We start from the raw sequence: 18048 nt of genomic DNA on the forward strand, positions 1-18048 counted from the left end.
ATTGTCATCAGGTTACCTAAAGTTAAGACAAAGGAAAGAATCTTAAGAGCTGTGAGGCAAAAACACCAGGTAACATATAAAGGAAAACCTATCAGACTAACAGCAGATTTCTCAGCAGAAACTCTACAAGCTAGAAAGGATTGGGGCCCTATCTTCAGCCTCTTCAAACAAAACAATTATCAGCCAAGAATTTTGTACCCAGCAAAACTAAGCTTCCTAAGTGGAGGAAAGATACAGTATTTTTCAGACAAACAAATGCTGAGAGAATTCGCCACTACCAAGCCAGCGCTACAAGAACTGCTAAAAGGAGCTCTAGATCTTGAAACAAATCCTGGAAACACATCAAAAAAGAACCTCTTTAAAGCATAAATCTCACAGGACCGACAAAACAGATACAATTTTTTTAAAATGGTATACAGGCAACAAATAGCATGATGAATGGAATGGTATCTCACATCTCAATACTAACATTGAATGTAAATGGCCTAAATGCTCCACTTAAGACACAGAATTGCAAAATGGATAAGAATTCACCAACCAACTATCTGCTACCTTCAAGAGACACACCTAACACATAAAGACTCACATAAACTTAAGGTAAAGGGGTGGAAAAAGACATTCCATGCAAATGGACACCAAAAGCGAGCAGGGGTAGCTATTCTTGTATCAGACAAAACAAACTTTAAAGCAACAGCAGTTATAAAAAAGACAAAGGGCGTCATTATATAATGATAAAAGGCCTTGTCCAACAGGAAAATATCACAATCCTAAATATATATGCACCTAACATTGGAGCGCCTAAATTTATAAAACAATTACTAATAGACCTATGAAATGAGATAGACAGCAACATCATAATAGTGGGAGACTTCAATACTCCACTGACAGCACTAGACAGGTCATCAAGACAGAAGGTCAACAAAGAAACAATGGCTTTAAACTATACCCTGGTACAAATGGACTTAACAGGTATTTACAGAACATTCTACCCAACAACCACAGAATATACATTCTATTCAACAGCACATGGAACTTTCTCCAAGATAGACCATATGATAGAGGCCACAAAATGAGCCTCAATAAATTCAAGAAAATTGAAATTATATCAAGTACTTTCTCAGACCACAGTGGAATAAAACTGGAAATCAACTTCAAAAGGAACCTTCAAAACCATGCAAATACATGGAAATTAAATAACTTGCTCCTGAATGATCGTTGGGTCAAAAATGAAATCATGATGGAAATTTAAAAATTCTCCAAACTGAATGACAATAGTGACACAACCTATCAAAACCTCTGGAATATAGCAAAGGCAGTGCTAAGAGGAAAGTTCATAGCCCTAACTGCTTACATCAAAGTCTGAAAGAGCACAAACAGACAATCTAAGGTCACACCTCTAGGAACTAGAGAAACAAGAACAAACCAAATCCGAACCCAGCAGAAGAAAGGAAGTAACCAAGATCAGGGCAGAACTAAATGAAATTGAAACAACAAAAAATACAAAAGATAAATGAAACAAAAAGCTGGTTCTTTGCAAAGAAAAATAAAACTGATAGACCATTAGCAAGATTAACCAAGAAAAGAAAAGAGGAAATCCAAATAAGCTCTATTAGAAACGAAATGGGAGATATCACACTGACACCACAGAAATACAAAAGATCATTCAGAACACCTTTGTGCACATAAACTGGAAAACCTAGAGGAGATGGATAAATTCCTGGAAAGATACAACCTTCTTAGCTTAAATCAGAAAGAATTAGCTACTCTGAACAGTGCAATATCAACCAGTGAGATTGAAATGGTAATAAAATTACCAACAAAAAAAAAGTCCAGGACCAGACAGATTCACAGCAGAATCCTACCAGACATTCAAAGAAGAATTGGTACCAATCCTATTGACACTATTCCACAAGATAGAGAAAAAGGGAACCCTCGCTAAATCATCCTATGACACCAGTATCACCCTAATACCAAAACCAGGAAAAGACATAACCAAAAAAGAAAACTACAGACCAATATCCCTGATGAACATAGATGCTATAATCCTCAACAAAACACTAGCTAACTGAATCCAACAACATATCAAAAAGATAATCCACCATGATCAAGTGGGTTTCATACCAGGGATGCAGGGATGATTAAAATACACAAGTCAATAAATGCGATACACCACATAAACGGAATCAAAAACAAAAATCACATGATCATCTCAATAGATGCAGAAAAAGCATTCGATAAAATCCAGCATTCCTTTATGATTAAAACTCTCAGCAAAACTGGCATACAAGAAACATACCTCAAAGTAATAAAAGCCATCTATGACAAACCCACAGCCAACATAATACTGCATGGGGAAAAGTTGAAAGTATTCCTTCTGAGAACTGGAACGAGACAAGGATGCCCACTCTCACCATTCCTCTTCAACACAGTACTGAAAGTCCTAGCCAGAGCAATCAGACAAGAGAAAGAAATAAAGGCATCCAAACTGGTAAAGAGGAAGTCAAACTGTTGCTGTTTGCTGGTGATATGATTGTTTATCTAGAAAACCCTAAAGACTCATCCAGAAAGTTCCTAGAAATGATAAAACAATTCAGCAAAGTACCCAGATACAGAATCAATGTACACAAATCAATAGCTCTTCTATACACCAACAGCGACCAAGCTGAGAATCAAGTCTAGAATTCAACCCCTTTTACAATAGCTGCAAAAAAAAAAAATAATAAAAATACTTAGGAATATACCTAACCAAGGAGGTGAAAGACTTCTACAGGGAAAACTACAAAACACTGCTGAAAGAAATCGTGGATGACACAAACAAATGGAAACACATCTCATGTTCATGGATGGGTAGAATCAGTATTGTGAAAATGACCATACTGCCAAAAGCCATCTACAAATTCAACACAATTCCCATCAAAATACCACCATCATTCTTCACAGAACTAGAAAAAACAATCCTAAAATTCACATGGAACCAAAAAAGAGCCCACATACCCAAAGTAAGACTGAGCAAAAAGAACACATCTGGAGGCATCACATTACCTATTTGAAACTATAAGGCCAGAGTCACCAAAACAGTGTGGTACTGGCATAAAAATTGGCACATAGACCAATGGAACAGAATAGAGAACTCAGAAATAAACCCTAATACTTACAGCCAACTGATCTTCAACAAAGCAAACAAAAATATAAAGTGGGGAAAGACCTATTCAACAAATGGTGCTGAGATAATTGGCAAGCCACATGTAGGAGAATGAAACTGGATCCTCATCTCTCACCTTATACAAAATCAACTCAAGATGGAGCAAAGACTTAAATCTAAGACCTGAAACTATAAAAATTCTATAATAAAAAGAAGACAACATTGGAAAAACGCTTCTAGACATTGGCTTAGGCAAGAATTTCATGACCAAGGACCCAAAAGCAAACACAATAAAAACAAAGATAAATAGCTGAGACTTAATTAAACTAAAGAGCTCTTGCACAGCAAAAGGAACAGTCCAGCAGAGTAAACAGACAACTCACAGAATGGGAGAAAATCTTCACAATCTATACGTCTGGCAAAAAACTAATATCCAGAATCTACAATGAACTCAAACAAATCAGCAAGAAAAAAACAAACAATCCCATCAAAAAGTGGGCTAAGGACATGAATAGAGACAATTACAAAAGAAGATATACAAATGGCTAATAAACATGAAAAAATGCTCAACAACACCAATGATCAGGGAAATGCAATTCAAAAACACAATGAGATATCACCTTACTCCTGCAAGAATGGCCATAATCAAAAAAATAAAAAAATAATAGATGTTGGCGTGGATGTGGTGAACAGGGAACTCTTCTACTCTGCTGGTGGGAATGTAAACTAGTACAACCACTGTGGAAAACAGTGTGGAGATTCCTTAAAGAACTAAAAGGAACTTGATCCAGCAATCCCACTACTGGTTACCCAAAGGAAAATAAGTCACTATATGAAAAAGATACTTGCACACGTTTATAGCAGCACAATTTGCAATTGCAAAAACATGGAACCAACCCAAATGCTCATCAATCAACGAGTGGACAAAGACACTGTGGTGTGTGTGTGTGTGTGTATATATATATATGTATATATATATATATATATATATATAATGGAATACTACTCAGCCACAAAAAGGAATGAATTAATGGCATTTGCAGTGACCAGGATGAGACTGGAGACTATTATTCTAACTCAGGAATGAAAAACCAACCATCACATGTTCTCACTCATATTTGGGAGCTAAGCTATGAGGATGCAAGGGCATAAGAAAGACAAAATGGACTGTGGGGACTCAAGGGGAAAGGGTGGGAATAGGGTAAGAAATACAAGGCCACAAATTGGGTGCAGCACAGTATATACTGCTCAGGTGATGAGTGCACCAATATCTCACAAATCACCACCAAAGAATTTACTCATGTAACCAAACACCACCTGTTCCCCAGTAACCTATGGAAATAAAAAAAAATTTTAAAAAAGGAATGGTACACTTAGGGTTGAGTGTCTAGAATCAATTTCTTGAGTTTTCAAAAGCTTCAATGTATAAATAAGTTGTACATCAGTACATAGTTTCCACTAAATGAAACAAAATTTATGAAACTCTATTATTCATTTATCCAACAATTATTGAAAACCAGATATTCTGCAATGTAAGGCAATATGCCAAGCCCAGTAAGCTGATATAAGGCACACTACCTAACCATAAGGAACTTACATCAAGCACACCTAATCCATTATTACCTCTCTTACTAACAGGCCTCCCTCATTTTCCCCTATGTCTTTGCTGAGATGGTAGCACAGATATTTTCAGTTAAAGTCCATTCCTTGGATCTTTATTTGCCCACTATTAAATGAGGTTTCACAGGATGGTTAACATAAAAAGATCCTGGATATTAAAAAGCATTCCATCCATGAGGAGTAAACTATATAGTTTCAAGGACACGGGGATTTTTGATCTCTCATTAGACCATGAGACTGGGTCTTGAATCTGCCAAATTTTTATTTCCAGTATTTAACTGGAGTAACTGGCACAGAGTAGGCACTCATAAATGCTTGCTGAATGACTGACTTAAACCAAAAAGGTTGTTGTATTAACTGTGTAGCCACAAGTACTAAATACATAGGCTTTCTACTTTCTACTAAAGACAGTTCTATGAAGACAAATCAAAGTGAATGCTCCTAAGCACTCTTGAAACTCCTGGTTCATTAACTTAACCCTGGAGACACAAACATAGTAACTGAAATTTTATGTGGTTTTCTATATTTTTTGCATGACATAGTTTTACAAATAGCTACAGCTTAGAATCAGAATAATAAGCATGCATAGCACAGTACACTACCTTTCAGTTTAACTGCCACATCAATATAGGATTGCAAAAATGCCATGGATACTGCTTGCCCTATATGAAAATTAAAAATTCAACAGATATTACATGTATATCTACAAAGCATCCACACTGATATGTAACAAATATACAGATTTATGAGGTTTCCCAAAATTATTGTTAATCAGAAATATTCTACTATACATTTCTCAACATAGTCCAACCACTTAAGAGAGTTTCAAATGCAACTGATTTTCCGCACTTGTACTGCAAGGAATATAGCTAAATGGCTATGATTTGAAGATAAAAGCAATATACTTACTATAAATCTATAATAACTGTTAATATGTTAAAAATCATTAGCGTGAGTCACAATTTTTCAAAATTAATGAACATCTAGTTTAATCATTCACCTTTAATTTGTAAATCAGATATAAATCAATTGCACAATCCCAGAATCAGAAGTAAATGCTTCAATGCACACAGTCTACTTGAGACATACGAAAGCAATTTCATTTTACAACATGCAATACATGGAATGCCAAAAATTAAATCTGGGTTTTTAAATGTCCTAATATGTAACAGTCCTCTAAAGGCTCATACTCACAACCAGCATAGAAGAGTACTATGCTGTCAGAAGCCATCACTGTTGCATTAAATGTTTCTTCTGTTAGTTCCACTGTAAGTTCCAAAGGTAATTTTCTCTTCCTATCTCTGAAAACAGTTTCTGCCACTTCATCATCCTGAACATCTAAAATGTTGGAAAAGAAATTAATTTAAATATTGATGTATAATGAAAACTATTTAAGCTCTTCTCATAGGAAGCATATAATAATTCAGTACTTTATACAAACTTTTGAATTCATCCTATCTTAATAGTTAGGATGCATGATATTTAGAAAACTTTGCAGTTGCTTAACTGACTCTGAGATGCTTCCTGACCTAGAAGTTGGGAAGTTTTAGTCAATTTCAAAATTAAAATTTGTTCTACAAAGAATATTAATAGTGCCATTTTGTTTATTTTGCCTCTACTATATGCCAAGCATTATGACAGGCACTAGGAAAACTGGTAAACAAAACAGACATAGTCCTGACCACATGGAACTTCTATCTATGGAAAAGTCAGATAAACTGATCACTGAATAAATATATAATTATAAATTATGATCAATTTATGAAGAAAGGTAAAGGATACACTGAGAGATTATAACAGGGCTATTTAGATTGGGAAGCCCAAAGTCTGCCAGGTAGAGAATCAAGAAAAGAATGTTTTAGACAAAGACAATAACATATACGAAAGCTCTGAGACATAAAAGAGTTGAGCACATACAAGGCTGAGGGAAGGCAAATTTGACTAAGACAAGATGGGGCTGAAAGAATAAACAGCATGAGAAAACTCTAGGCTAGGCAGTGGCTAGATCATAAGAGGTCACATGAGCCAAGAAGTCTGGATTTTATCCAAAAAGCCTCAAGTTATGAGTGGATTCTGAATATGTGAAACCCTTCCTTTAGATAGACCAATCAATAGACTGATAGATTCATCCATCCATCCATCCATCCAACCATCCATGTACCTTCAAAAATACATTTGGATTCATAAATATTCTGTTGGAAGTTTGTAGAGATTGTACGGTAAGACAGATGGAGCATATAACTTGATTAAAGGATAAAGCTTCTTTATGAACATGAAAACATGAACATGAAAAGGAAAATAAAACTCAGGTAGGCAGAGAAGAAAGGCAGTGGTGGCATAAAGAGCAAAGAGAATGGCATGAGCAAAGGCACAGTGGCATGTAAGAGCATGGTGCAATCAGAAGTTCAAACACTGACTGGATATACGATGGTATTAAGAATTGTTAATTTTTTAGATGTAATAATAGTATTAATTATGTTAATGTTAAAAAGGAAAATCCTTATATTTCTGAAACCCAGGGAAATACTTATAGATGAAATTACATGTTTTGGATTTGCTACAAAACAATAAGGGGGGGGGGTGATTGGAGCAGAATGAGCCATGGTTTGATAATGGCTGGGGCCAAGTAATGGATAACAAGAATTTGTTCTATTATTCTCTCTCCGTATGTTCGTAATTCTCTGTAACAACACATTAAAAAGAAAGAAGGGAGAGAGAAGACAATACATTCATAGAACTAAAGTATTGTTTTATACATAATTTCTAATACAGTCACGTACCACATAATGATATTTCAGTCAACAATGGACAACATATACAACTGTAGTCCCTTAAGATTATAATAGAGCTGAGAAATTCCTATCATCTGGTGATGTAGTGGCCATTGTAACATCGTAGCACAACACATTACTCACATGTTTGTGGTGATGCTGGTGTAAACAAACCTACTGTGAGTCATATAGCACATAAGGCCAGGGACAGTGGCTCACACCTGTAATCCCAGCACTTTGGGGGGCCGAGGTGGACGGATCACTTGAGGTCAGGAGTTCGAGGCCAGCCTGGCCAATATGGTGAAACCCCGTCTCTACTAAAAATACAAAAAATTAGCAGGGCATGGTGGCGCATGCTTGTAATCCCAGCTACTTGGGAGGCTGAGGCAGAACAATCACTTGAACCCAGGAGGTGGAGGTTGCAGTGAGCCGAGATTGCACCGCTGCACTCCAGCCTGGGCGACAAAAGTGAAACTCTGTCTCAAAAAAAAAGAAAAAAGTACAGCACATATAATTATGTACAGTAAATAATACTTGATAATGATAATAAAGGACTAGATTATTGGTTTATATATTTACTATACTCATCATTAGAGTGTACTCCTTTCACTTATAAAATAAAAAGTTCACTGTAAAACAGCCTCAGGTAGGTCTTCAGGAGGTGTTCTAAAAGAAGGCACTATTATCATAGGAAATGACAGCTCCATGCTTGTTACTGTCCCTGAAGACCTTCCAAAGGGACAAGATGTGGAAGTGGAAGAGAGTAATATGGATGATCTTGATCCTGTACAAGCCTAGGCTAATGTGTGTGTTTGTGTTTTCGTTTTTAGAGAAAAGTTTAAAACGTAAAACATAAAAGTTTTAAATGGAAAAAAGCTTATAGCATAAGGATATAAAAAAAGAAAATATTTTTGTACAGCTGTATGATGTGTTTGTGCTTTAAGTTTAATGTTATCACAAAACAGTCAAAATGTTTTTAAAAATTGTAAAAATGTATAAAGTGAAAAAGTTACAGTAAGCTAAGACAAATTATTGAAAAAAAATTTATAAATTTAGTACAGCCTAAGTGTACAGTATTTATAAATCTACAATAATGTAATGTTCTAGGCCTTTACACTCACTCACTGACTCACCCAGAGCAACTTCCGGTCCTGCAAGCTCCATACATGGTATGTACCCTATACAAGTGTACCATTTTTTATCTTTTATACCATGTTTTTATTGTACCTCTTCTGTGTTTACACGTTTAGATACATAAATATCTACCATTGTGTTATAGGTACCTACAGTATTCAGTACAGTAACATGCTGTATAGGTTTGTGGCCTAGGAGCAATAGGATATATCATACACCCTAGGTGTGTAATAGGCTACACCATGTAGGTTTGTGTAAGTGAACTTTATGATGTTTGCTCAATGAAATCACCTAATGATGCATTTCTCAGAAACTATCCTCATCGTTAGGAGACACATGACCATACAATAAATTAAAATTCTAGATCTGGATTTCACTACAACCTCAGCCATTTTCTATACGACTCTAGTCAATCACATAACTCTCTGGGCCTCAATGTTCAACTCTTGTGAAGCATGAGAGTTGCACTATATAACTTAAAGGTACTTTTAAGCACCAAATTCCATGACACTAAAAATTACATTCTCAATACCAAACTTAGTAAAGACCTATTTTCTTATTTACTGTATTTTTTTCTTATTATTCATATATTTTCATTTTCCTGTCAGTCTTCTGTTTCTTTTTCCTCCTTTCCCTCTTTTCTTATATTCTAAATAAGCTACCATCACTTGTACATTTAGTCACTCCTCAGCTCTACCTTCAACCTATTCATTAATAACATACACACTATTTTCAGTCACACATGCTGCTTTTTTTTTTTTTTTTTTTTGAGACAGGGTCTCACTCTGTTGCCCAGGTAGGAGTGCACTGGCAAGATCTCAGCTCACTGCAACCTCCAGCTCCTGGGCTCAAGTAATCCTCCCACCTCAGCCTCCCAAGGAGCTGGGATTACAGGCACATACCACCATCTTGGCTAATTTTTGTATTTTTTGTAGTGATGGGGTTTTGTCATGTTGCCCAGGCTGGAACACATGCTTCTTTTCTTTTTTCAGATTGCCCTTCTGTGGAATCTAGTCTTTTTCATTCTGATTCCATTTTGCTGATTTTCTCTGGGGTGCACCTGTCTCTGATTTACATTCTCAGATGGTAATAAATTCTTTCCTAACCCTTATCTAGTTTTCCTTTGTAAACGGGAGTGATACAGAGGGAGGGGGAAGAATTAGATACAGGCACAACACCATACAACATTCTGGGCCAGTATGGATTACTGATAATAGGAAGTTAAGATGAAAAATAAACAAAAAAGGCAAAGCTGCAAAAGAAATACTAGAAACAGGCTGGAGGTTATTGAATGTTTCCAACACAAAGAAACGATAAATGTTTGAAATGATGGATACACTCAATACCCTGACCTGATCACCATACATTGTATGTATTGAAACATCACTATGTACCCCACAAATAGGTACAGTTATTATTGGTCAATTAAAAAAATGGAAATAAAAACCAGAAAGAGAAGGCAGCATCAGAGGGTAAGTAAGGCCACAGAGTCAGGAAACAATATAGAGGCTGTGGCCACAAAGAAATCTTCAAACAGGCGACTCCCACTGAAGACAGGAATCAAATAAACTGAGACTAGGGACAAGTCCTCTAACTCTGAAGGTTCAAATATAGGAACCATTACAGGAATAAGCAGGAAACAAGAGACCAGAACACAGGTCTGCTTATGTAATGACAAGCCCACTGAGAACTCCAGAGAGGAACACAAGCAATTCTAACCCCTGCATATCGGAAAAGAACCAGAGCTCTGCTCAAACCAAGAAACTGGTCACTGGTAAGAGTGAAAGCTCTTACTAAATTTATAATATAGATTTTGATCACAATGCATGGACCTCATGAAAATGATATGTAAATTGCTTCCTTCTTGGAGCTCATAATGGTACTATATAAAACATTCAAGTATTTACTATATATGTTATACAAAAATGAACAAGACATAATCCTTGATTTAGAAATATTTATAGACTAGCAGAGAAGAGAAAAAAGCAAATGAATAATTACAGAAGAGGATTAATGTTATGAAAGATGTATCAGAAATAATTATTTCACTATTGCCCAACTGTTACACTTAAAAAATATCAAATTTTAGGCCACTAGATTATTCTAGCGAAGTATTCTTGACTGTCACTAATAATAAGATTTTATTTCAGGATGCTTAAGTTCTAGCCCAGTCCCTACCACCTGCTACTTGTGGGACTTTGGGCAGATCACTGAACTCAGGAAATGCAGACTCTTCATGTATAAAATGAAAGTGGTATCAGCTAACTCAGAGAATAATAATCAAAGTAAATAATATGTGGGAAAAAGAGTTAAAAACTATACAATACTTCATAAATGTAAGCAATACATTTTTAAAAAACTGAAATAACTGTTTAAACGAAGTGTTAAAATGTTACTGAAATTTACTTCTTATACCATTAACAACTGGATTTATTTACAAGTACAAATATAACAATATTTATTAGAACTCCATTTCCTAATAAAAATAGTAACAATGAATTATCATGTTGTAGTTTCTAAGTAGAGTTTTTAAACATGGACTAGTCCAGAACGGCTGAAAGAACTGATATGGAAGATGAAGGCACAGATGTGGGAAGTTTGAAGCCTGATATGTAACAGTAAATGTTAATACATTAAACAAAATATAGCATCCTTACATCTTTTCAACAAATCAACTTGATAAAATGTGGTTCCAAATAAATTCCGCCAGGTTTCTTTACAGAGTCTTGAATCTGAACACATTCTTGGAGAAAGTTAATCCATTGGAAATTTCACTGACTTTATGGGTGCTGGGCAGGATGGGGAAGGGGTGAGAATCATAACACATTACCTATATCTGGACCTTCCATGTCATTGTCTTCATCTTCTTGTATTTCCTCAATGTGCATATTATTTTCCACATGAGATATTATTAAATCAACATCATGTAATACCAAAAATTCCACTGGAACTCCCTAGAAATACATTAATTTTTAAAAAATGAATATAGCAAAGTATTTTGACATAAAAATGTTTTACTTGGGCCAGGTGTGGTGGCTCACACCTGTAATCCCAGCACTTTGGGAGGTCGAGGCAGGCGGATCATCTGAGGTCAGTAGTTCGAGACCAGCCTGGCCAACATGGTGAAACTGTCTCTACTAAAAATACAAAAATTAGACTGGCGTGGTGGCGCACGCCTGTAATCCCAGCTACTTGGGAGGCTGAAACAGGAGAATCGTCTGAACCCAGGAGGCAGAGGTTGCAGTGAGGCAAGATTGCACCACCACACTCCAGCCTGGGCGACAAGGCGAGACTCTGGGAAAAAAAAAAAAAAAAAACAAGTTTTACTTGTTTGACACTAAAATAAAACTAAGCCTTTGAACTTCAATTCTAAAATTTAGCAAAATGAAAAAGGAAATTAACTCCAAAATTACTGTGAAAAGAAAAGCATACCTTCTGTAAAGACAATGTGTACACTGAAAAAGGTGGCAAAAAAGGTGCTGAAAGCCTCACTTGCTTCTTGTCACAACCACATTATACTGAAGTCTGTAAAGCATTTCACATGTAATACCAAGTTCTACCTCTTTATAAAATGGAAATATATACAATTTTACTGCAAATAGAGTAAATCAAAATTGATTATTCTGACATTCCACAGAAATATTCAAAACAATACTTCATCTAAATTAATTCCACTAATAAGTTCAATTTCCTGTTTAGCTATAAACAACACTAAATTACTATGTGCTCCCAGTTATTTTAAGAATACCAAATTCTATTGAGATCGATATTAATTAATATTAAAAAATATTACTTAAGATTTATTTCACTATTGCCCAACTGTTACACTTTTAAAATATGAAATTTTAGGCCACTAGATTATTTTAGCAAAGTGTTCTTGACTGTAACTCTATATTGGAATAAAGCTATGAGCTCTAAGTATGTTTGTTCTTTGCTATCACATATCTTCATTTTTTTAACATTATATTCGAAACGAGCAATTTTAATTTCTACAGAAATATAATAAACTTAAAAAGTAGAGGAATCAAAATCAAACTTAATTTGTTCCAAATATTCACAGAAATTTTTGTAGTAAACCTTTTAATTAAAGTATAACATTAACACAGAAAAGAACAAAAATTTTAAGTATAGAGTTTGATGGATTTTTACAAAGTGGACACACTTGTATAACCACCATACAGATTAAGATACAGAACATCATCAGCACAACCAGTGGCCATCTTCTTGCTCTTCCTGTCATTAACATCCCCCAAAAGTAATCACTATTCTGTCTTTCATCACTGCTATGGTTTGAATTCTGTTTTATCTTGTTTATTTTTTTGAGACAGGGTCTGTCTCTGTCACCCAGGGTGGACGTGCAGTGGCACAATCATGGCTCACTGCAGCTCAAACCTCTGGGGCTCAAGTGATTCTCCCACCTCAGCCTCCTGAGTAACTGGGACTATAGGCATGCACCACCACACCCAGCCAATTTTTTGTAGAGATGGGATCTCCCGATGTTGCCTAGGCTGGTCTTGCACTCCTGGGCTCAAGCGATCCACCTGCCTCAGCCTCCCAAAGTGCTAGATTACAGGCACGAGCCACCATGCCCAGCCCAATATTATTTTAAACAAAAAGCAGAATATATAGCATAATTCTGATTTTGCTTTATTTAAAAAAATACATATACATACGTGAACATAGGATACAAACCAGACTGACACATGATAAAAACATCAAAACGTTAACAGCAATTTTCTTTGAATAGGAGCAATTTATAATTTACAGATTTTTCTATAATAAAAATATATTAAAGACCACATATATTAGCTTTCTTTAAATAAACAGATATTGTAGAACAATACATAAAACAACTAACCTCTTCTGCTCTTTTGAAGACCACATTAGCATCTTGAGGAATGTTCACTTCCAAAGAGTCCCTTTTTCAAAATGGAAATAAATGTTTTATGTTGCTAATCTGAAGAATAATAGTCACCCAGGACTTCAATAGAAAATAGAACTACATTCTTATACTAAAAATTATGAAAAAATATTACAATTTAGTGACTGAAAAATTTTACACGTAAACATAGACCAGATTTTCTAGTCTCCATCTTAATCTCCATCTTTATTTAGCAAGGTTTAAAATTCTAAGTTTTAATCAACCTTAAATGAATGTACAGATTTTAGCTCAGCAACTAGTTCTAACTATATTGGAATCTATTAGAGATTTGAGTTTACTTATAAGTGATTAAATTACCATATTTTAAAACGTGGAAACTATTAGCGTTTTGCTAAATATAGTAAATATTCGATGTTTAAGATACCTTAACAAGAGTAGAACTCCTGCTTTTCCCAGAAGACGCCAAGCAACCCATTCTGCAGTTCTTCTATCAGCTTCATAAGTAGCCTGTTGGCTAACAATAAAAACCAGTGGTAAGCCCAGTTGGAGATGGACAGTTGAAACTTGTTGAGGATCTTCAGCAACTTCAGTCTTCATTGAAAAAAAAAAAAAAAAAAGGTGTGATAACAATATTCCAACATTTGGATTTAAATTCTCCTAATTCTTATTAATAAAGTCATGAGTAAAAAAAAGTGTAAAATAATCCAACACTAACAGAAACGATCTCTTAATTCCCTGAATTTAATGCTCCCAATGCACCTATATAGTTTTGTTTGTTTGTTTTTTGAGACAGAATCTTGCTCGCTCATCAGGCTGGAGTGGAATGGCACAATCACAGCTCATTGTAGCCTTAGCCTTCTGGGCTCAAACAATCCTCCCACCTCAGCCTCCCGAGTAGCTGAGACCACAGGTGCACACCACCATGCCTAGCTTTTTTTTTTTTTTTTTTTTTTTTAAATTTTTTGTAGAGACGAGGTCTCCCTATGTTGCCCAGGCTGGTCTTGAACTCCTGGGCTCAAGTGATCCTCCCACCTTGGCCTTCCAAAGTGATGGGATTACAGGCATGAGCCATCGTGCCTGGCCCCCTATAAGTTTAGGCATTATAAAACTAACAGATTTTATAAGAAGTTAAACCAAAAATTACAATCATAAAGAATAAACATATTATAAATAAACAAAAACAATAAATAAGTGTGGGACTAATTGATATAGAAAAATATTTCAAGGGAAATAGATAACTAAGGAACAAACTTTTTCATTAAGAATTTAACATATAATGACACATTACAAAACAATGAGGAATATCTGAGTTAAAGTAGCAAATTAAATACACACATCTAATTTCACTCCCTCCAGAACTCCCAGGAAAACTACAGCAGCAGGATTTTTAAAAGAGATAAACACATGGATGTGAAGAAGGGAAGAGAAAAGATAGCACAATTTTAGAAGTCAGAATAATAACTGACTTAGGAGATCCTACAAAGCAAAAGCCTAAGCCATTAGAGGGAAAACTAAGTTTTAACTACAGAATCCTAAAATTGCTCAGGAACTGTCAGTGTTAGGCATGTCTGGACCTGGGAAGGAAATGTTGGAAGGGAAGTGACAGGAAGGCTCTAAAATAAGGAGGAATGTGTCAAAGCTTTTGAGAGGTAGTTAGATCCCTAGATTCCCCTCCCCAACTCTATGAGTTTAAACAACTGTCACTTCCCTACACCAGCAGAAATCTAGGAACAGTTGACAGTGTGGACACCATGCCGAAATCAGGGGTATTAAGTAACCAAATGTTGAGACGTTCCCCTCACCCCAGGTCCCTTTCCACTCAGTTCCCAGAATGCCAGCAGCTAGGCCTTTGTCCTCAATTGGAATTTGTATCCTTTTTGGGGGACTGAGTAACCCCAAAAGCCTAAAGATACTGACATTGGGATTCGCCAAAAAGCAGGCCAGGCCCAGTTACTTTATAGAGCTCTAGGCTCGGCCCTGCTCACCTCTTCAGTCTGCTTACTGCCTAAGAGACATAGACTTCTGCCACTGCTACCCGCACCTTCTCTACCTTCCACCATAGATGTCTCCCAGACAAGACTCAACCACACTTCTTGAATTCTCACACAGAGAATGTGTGAGAATCTGCAACAGTGTTGCCTGCCTCTGCCCCTCCTCCACGCTCCTCTTTTGCCGCCACCCAGCACAGCTGGCTTCAGGGTCCATCTGAGCACTGCTTGGCGTTCCCAGGACATTTGAACTAGGCAGGGAGGTGGGGTGTCATGTGGCCAGGTGGCCAGAAGGCACTAAGAAATCCCATGGGATGGTCTGTGCAGATCAGACACTTACCAGTCAGGGGGCAGAAATGTCAAGGGCAGCTTACAATGGTGCCACCTTCTCACCATTCCCCCTTCCCAACCCTCCTCGGCCCAGTCAGCCAAAGAGAGTCAGTACTATTTTGGCCACATCTCTCAAGTCTCCCCCAACCCCAACTGCCTTGAAGTCTCTGCTTTTTGTCAGAGACTTGCAAAGACTGATGTTTTTGTTTTGTTTTCTCATCATTCCATTGTGATAGTAAGAAACTAAGAAGATTAATGAAAAGGTCAGGCACGATGGCTCACGCCTATAATCCCAGCACTTTGGGAGGCCAAGACAGAAGACCATTTGAGGTCAGGAGTTCAAGACCAGCCTGGGCTACAAAGCGTGACCCTGTCTCTATTTTTTTTTTAAAGAAAAAATTATATAAAAATTTAAAAAGAAGATTAGAGAAGAAATAAAATGTGAACACATGTCACTGTTCTATATATATATATATATATATATACACACACACACACACACATATTTAAAAGTCACCAAGTCCCACCAATGTTAGAATTTCCAATCAGCTTCTAGTTTCAAATTCTAAATTGTGAATAGATATCCAAGGATTAACAAACACCTGAGGAAAGCCTCTAACATGAAAGACAGAGACTAGAACACATAGAAAAATAAATAACATAGAGAAAATACAGACTATGTGGGAAGAAGAAAGGTTCAGAAACCACCATAGACAACCTCAAGGAGATGGGAAGACACTGGATCCATAAAGAATTGAAAAATAAAGTTAAATAAATCTCCCAGAAAGCACAACAGAAATAGATGGAAGATAGAGAAAAAAGGTAATAAAATTGAAGGACTAGTTCAAGAGGTCTAACATCTAAATAATGCAAGTCACAGAAAAAGAGAAGGGAGAATATAGAAGAAATCATCACTGAAATAAACACAAAATTTTCCCACAACTGAAGGACATGAGTTGTCAGATTGAAAGAGCCCACTGAATAACCAATAGAGTGGATAAAAGCAGATACAAAGGAAGATGCATTCTCCTAAACTTTCTAATAATTAAACTTTTTTTTTTTCCAAGATAGAGTCTTGCTCTCTCACCCAGGCTGGAGTGCAGTGTCAGGATCTCAGCTCACTGTAACCTCTGTCTCCCAGCCTCAAGCAATCCTCCCACTTCAACCTCCACCAAATAGCTGGGACTACAGGCATGCATCACCAAGCCCAGCTAATTTTTATATATTTTGTAGAGATGGGGTCTCGCCATGTTGCCCAGGCTGGTCTCGAACTCCTGGACTCAGCCAATCCACCCACCTTGGCCTCCCAAAGTGATTCCTATCACCAGGGGATAGGAACCTTGGGAGCTATCTTAGAAGTCTGTCTACCATAGGTAAGTATAGGATTCTCTTCGGCAATTTTTAGGAAAGATATATATATATATATAAAGTACTCAATAACTTGAGTTATTAAGTACTCTTAATACAGCCCCCAAGATTCCTACCCCCTAGTGAACAAATCTTGTATAATCCCCTCCCCTGAGTGTCAGTAGGACCCGTGGGTAGCCATTCCTTTGGTTACGTGACATTACATAGAAGTCTGCTGTAACACACTCAAGTAAGATTCTCCCACTGGCTTTGAAGGAGCAAGCTGCAATGTTGTGAGAGGGCCATGTGGCAAGGGCTTGAGAGCAGCCTGTAGGAAATGAGAACAACCCCTGTCCAACAGCCAGCAAGAAAACAGAAACCTGGGTCTTACAACCACAAGCAACGAATTTCTGCCAAAAACCTAGATGAGTGAAATACCCTGAAGGAGTAAAAATGCCTGTTTTTTTTTCCTTGTGTATTAGGAGAACTATTAGTAATTAGTAATTCAGTATTATAAAGCAAAAAGGAGGAATAGTCAGTAAGGCTAGAAATCTGGCAAGGGGCCAGATCATTGAAAGCCATGAATATCCTGCCAAGAAAATGGGGCTTTATTGTGTAAGTAAAGTGAAGCCATTTATGAATTGCATGAACTCATGATCACATATATATTTTTAAAATATCACTCTGTCAGCTTTCAAATGATATTTCAGATGTAAAATTACATGCAGGAAGATGTAGGAATTAAGCATGTTTTCCCAGATGTCTGCCATCAATGAATGGACAGTAAGATAACCAAAATAATAGAAAAAGAACCAGTGGTGGTGAAGGACAATA

At 36.5% G+C, this 18048-nt stretch overlaps 1 protein-coding gene across 5 annotated transcripts in view; it reads right to left on the reverse strand.

Annotated features, from left to right (window-relative positions):
• Positions 1-18048, reverse strand: part of TXNDC16 (thioredoxin domain containing 16) — a 121910-nt gene that overhangs the window by 46270 nt on the left and 57592 nt on the right. For all 5 annotated transcript variants that reach the window (XR_007064038.1, XR_007064037.1, NM_001160047.2 and 2 more), the window contains exons 10-14: positions 13974-14140; positions 13526-13586; positions 11498-11621; positions 5957-6100; positions 5365-5424 (exon numbers count right to left, since the gene is read on the reverse strand). Coding sequence is in view for 3 of the 5 variants with exons in the window: in NM_001160047.2 (NP_001153519.1) it covers positions 5365-5424; positions 5957-6100; positions 11498-11621; positions 13526-13586; positions 13974-14140 (556 nt within the window). In the remaining 2 variants the exon portion in view is untranslated. The remainder of the gene's footprint in view (positions 1-5364; positions 5425-5956; positions 6101-11497; positions 11622-13525; positions 13587-13973; positions 14141-18048) is intronic.

The sequence above is a fragment of the Homo sapiens genome, chromosome 14, assembly GCF_000001405.40.
Source record: "Homo sapiens chromosome 14, GRCh38.p14 Primary Assembly".
NCBI lineage: Eukaryota > Metazoa > Chordata > Mammalia > Primates > Hominidae > Homo > Homo sapiens.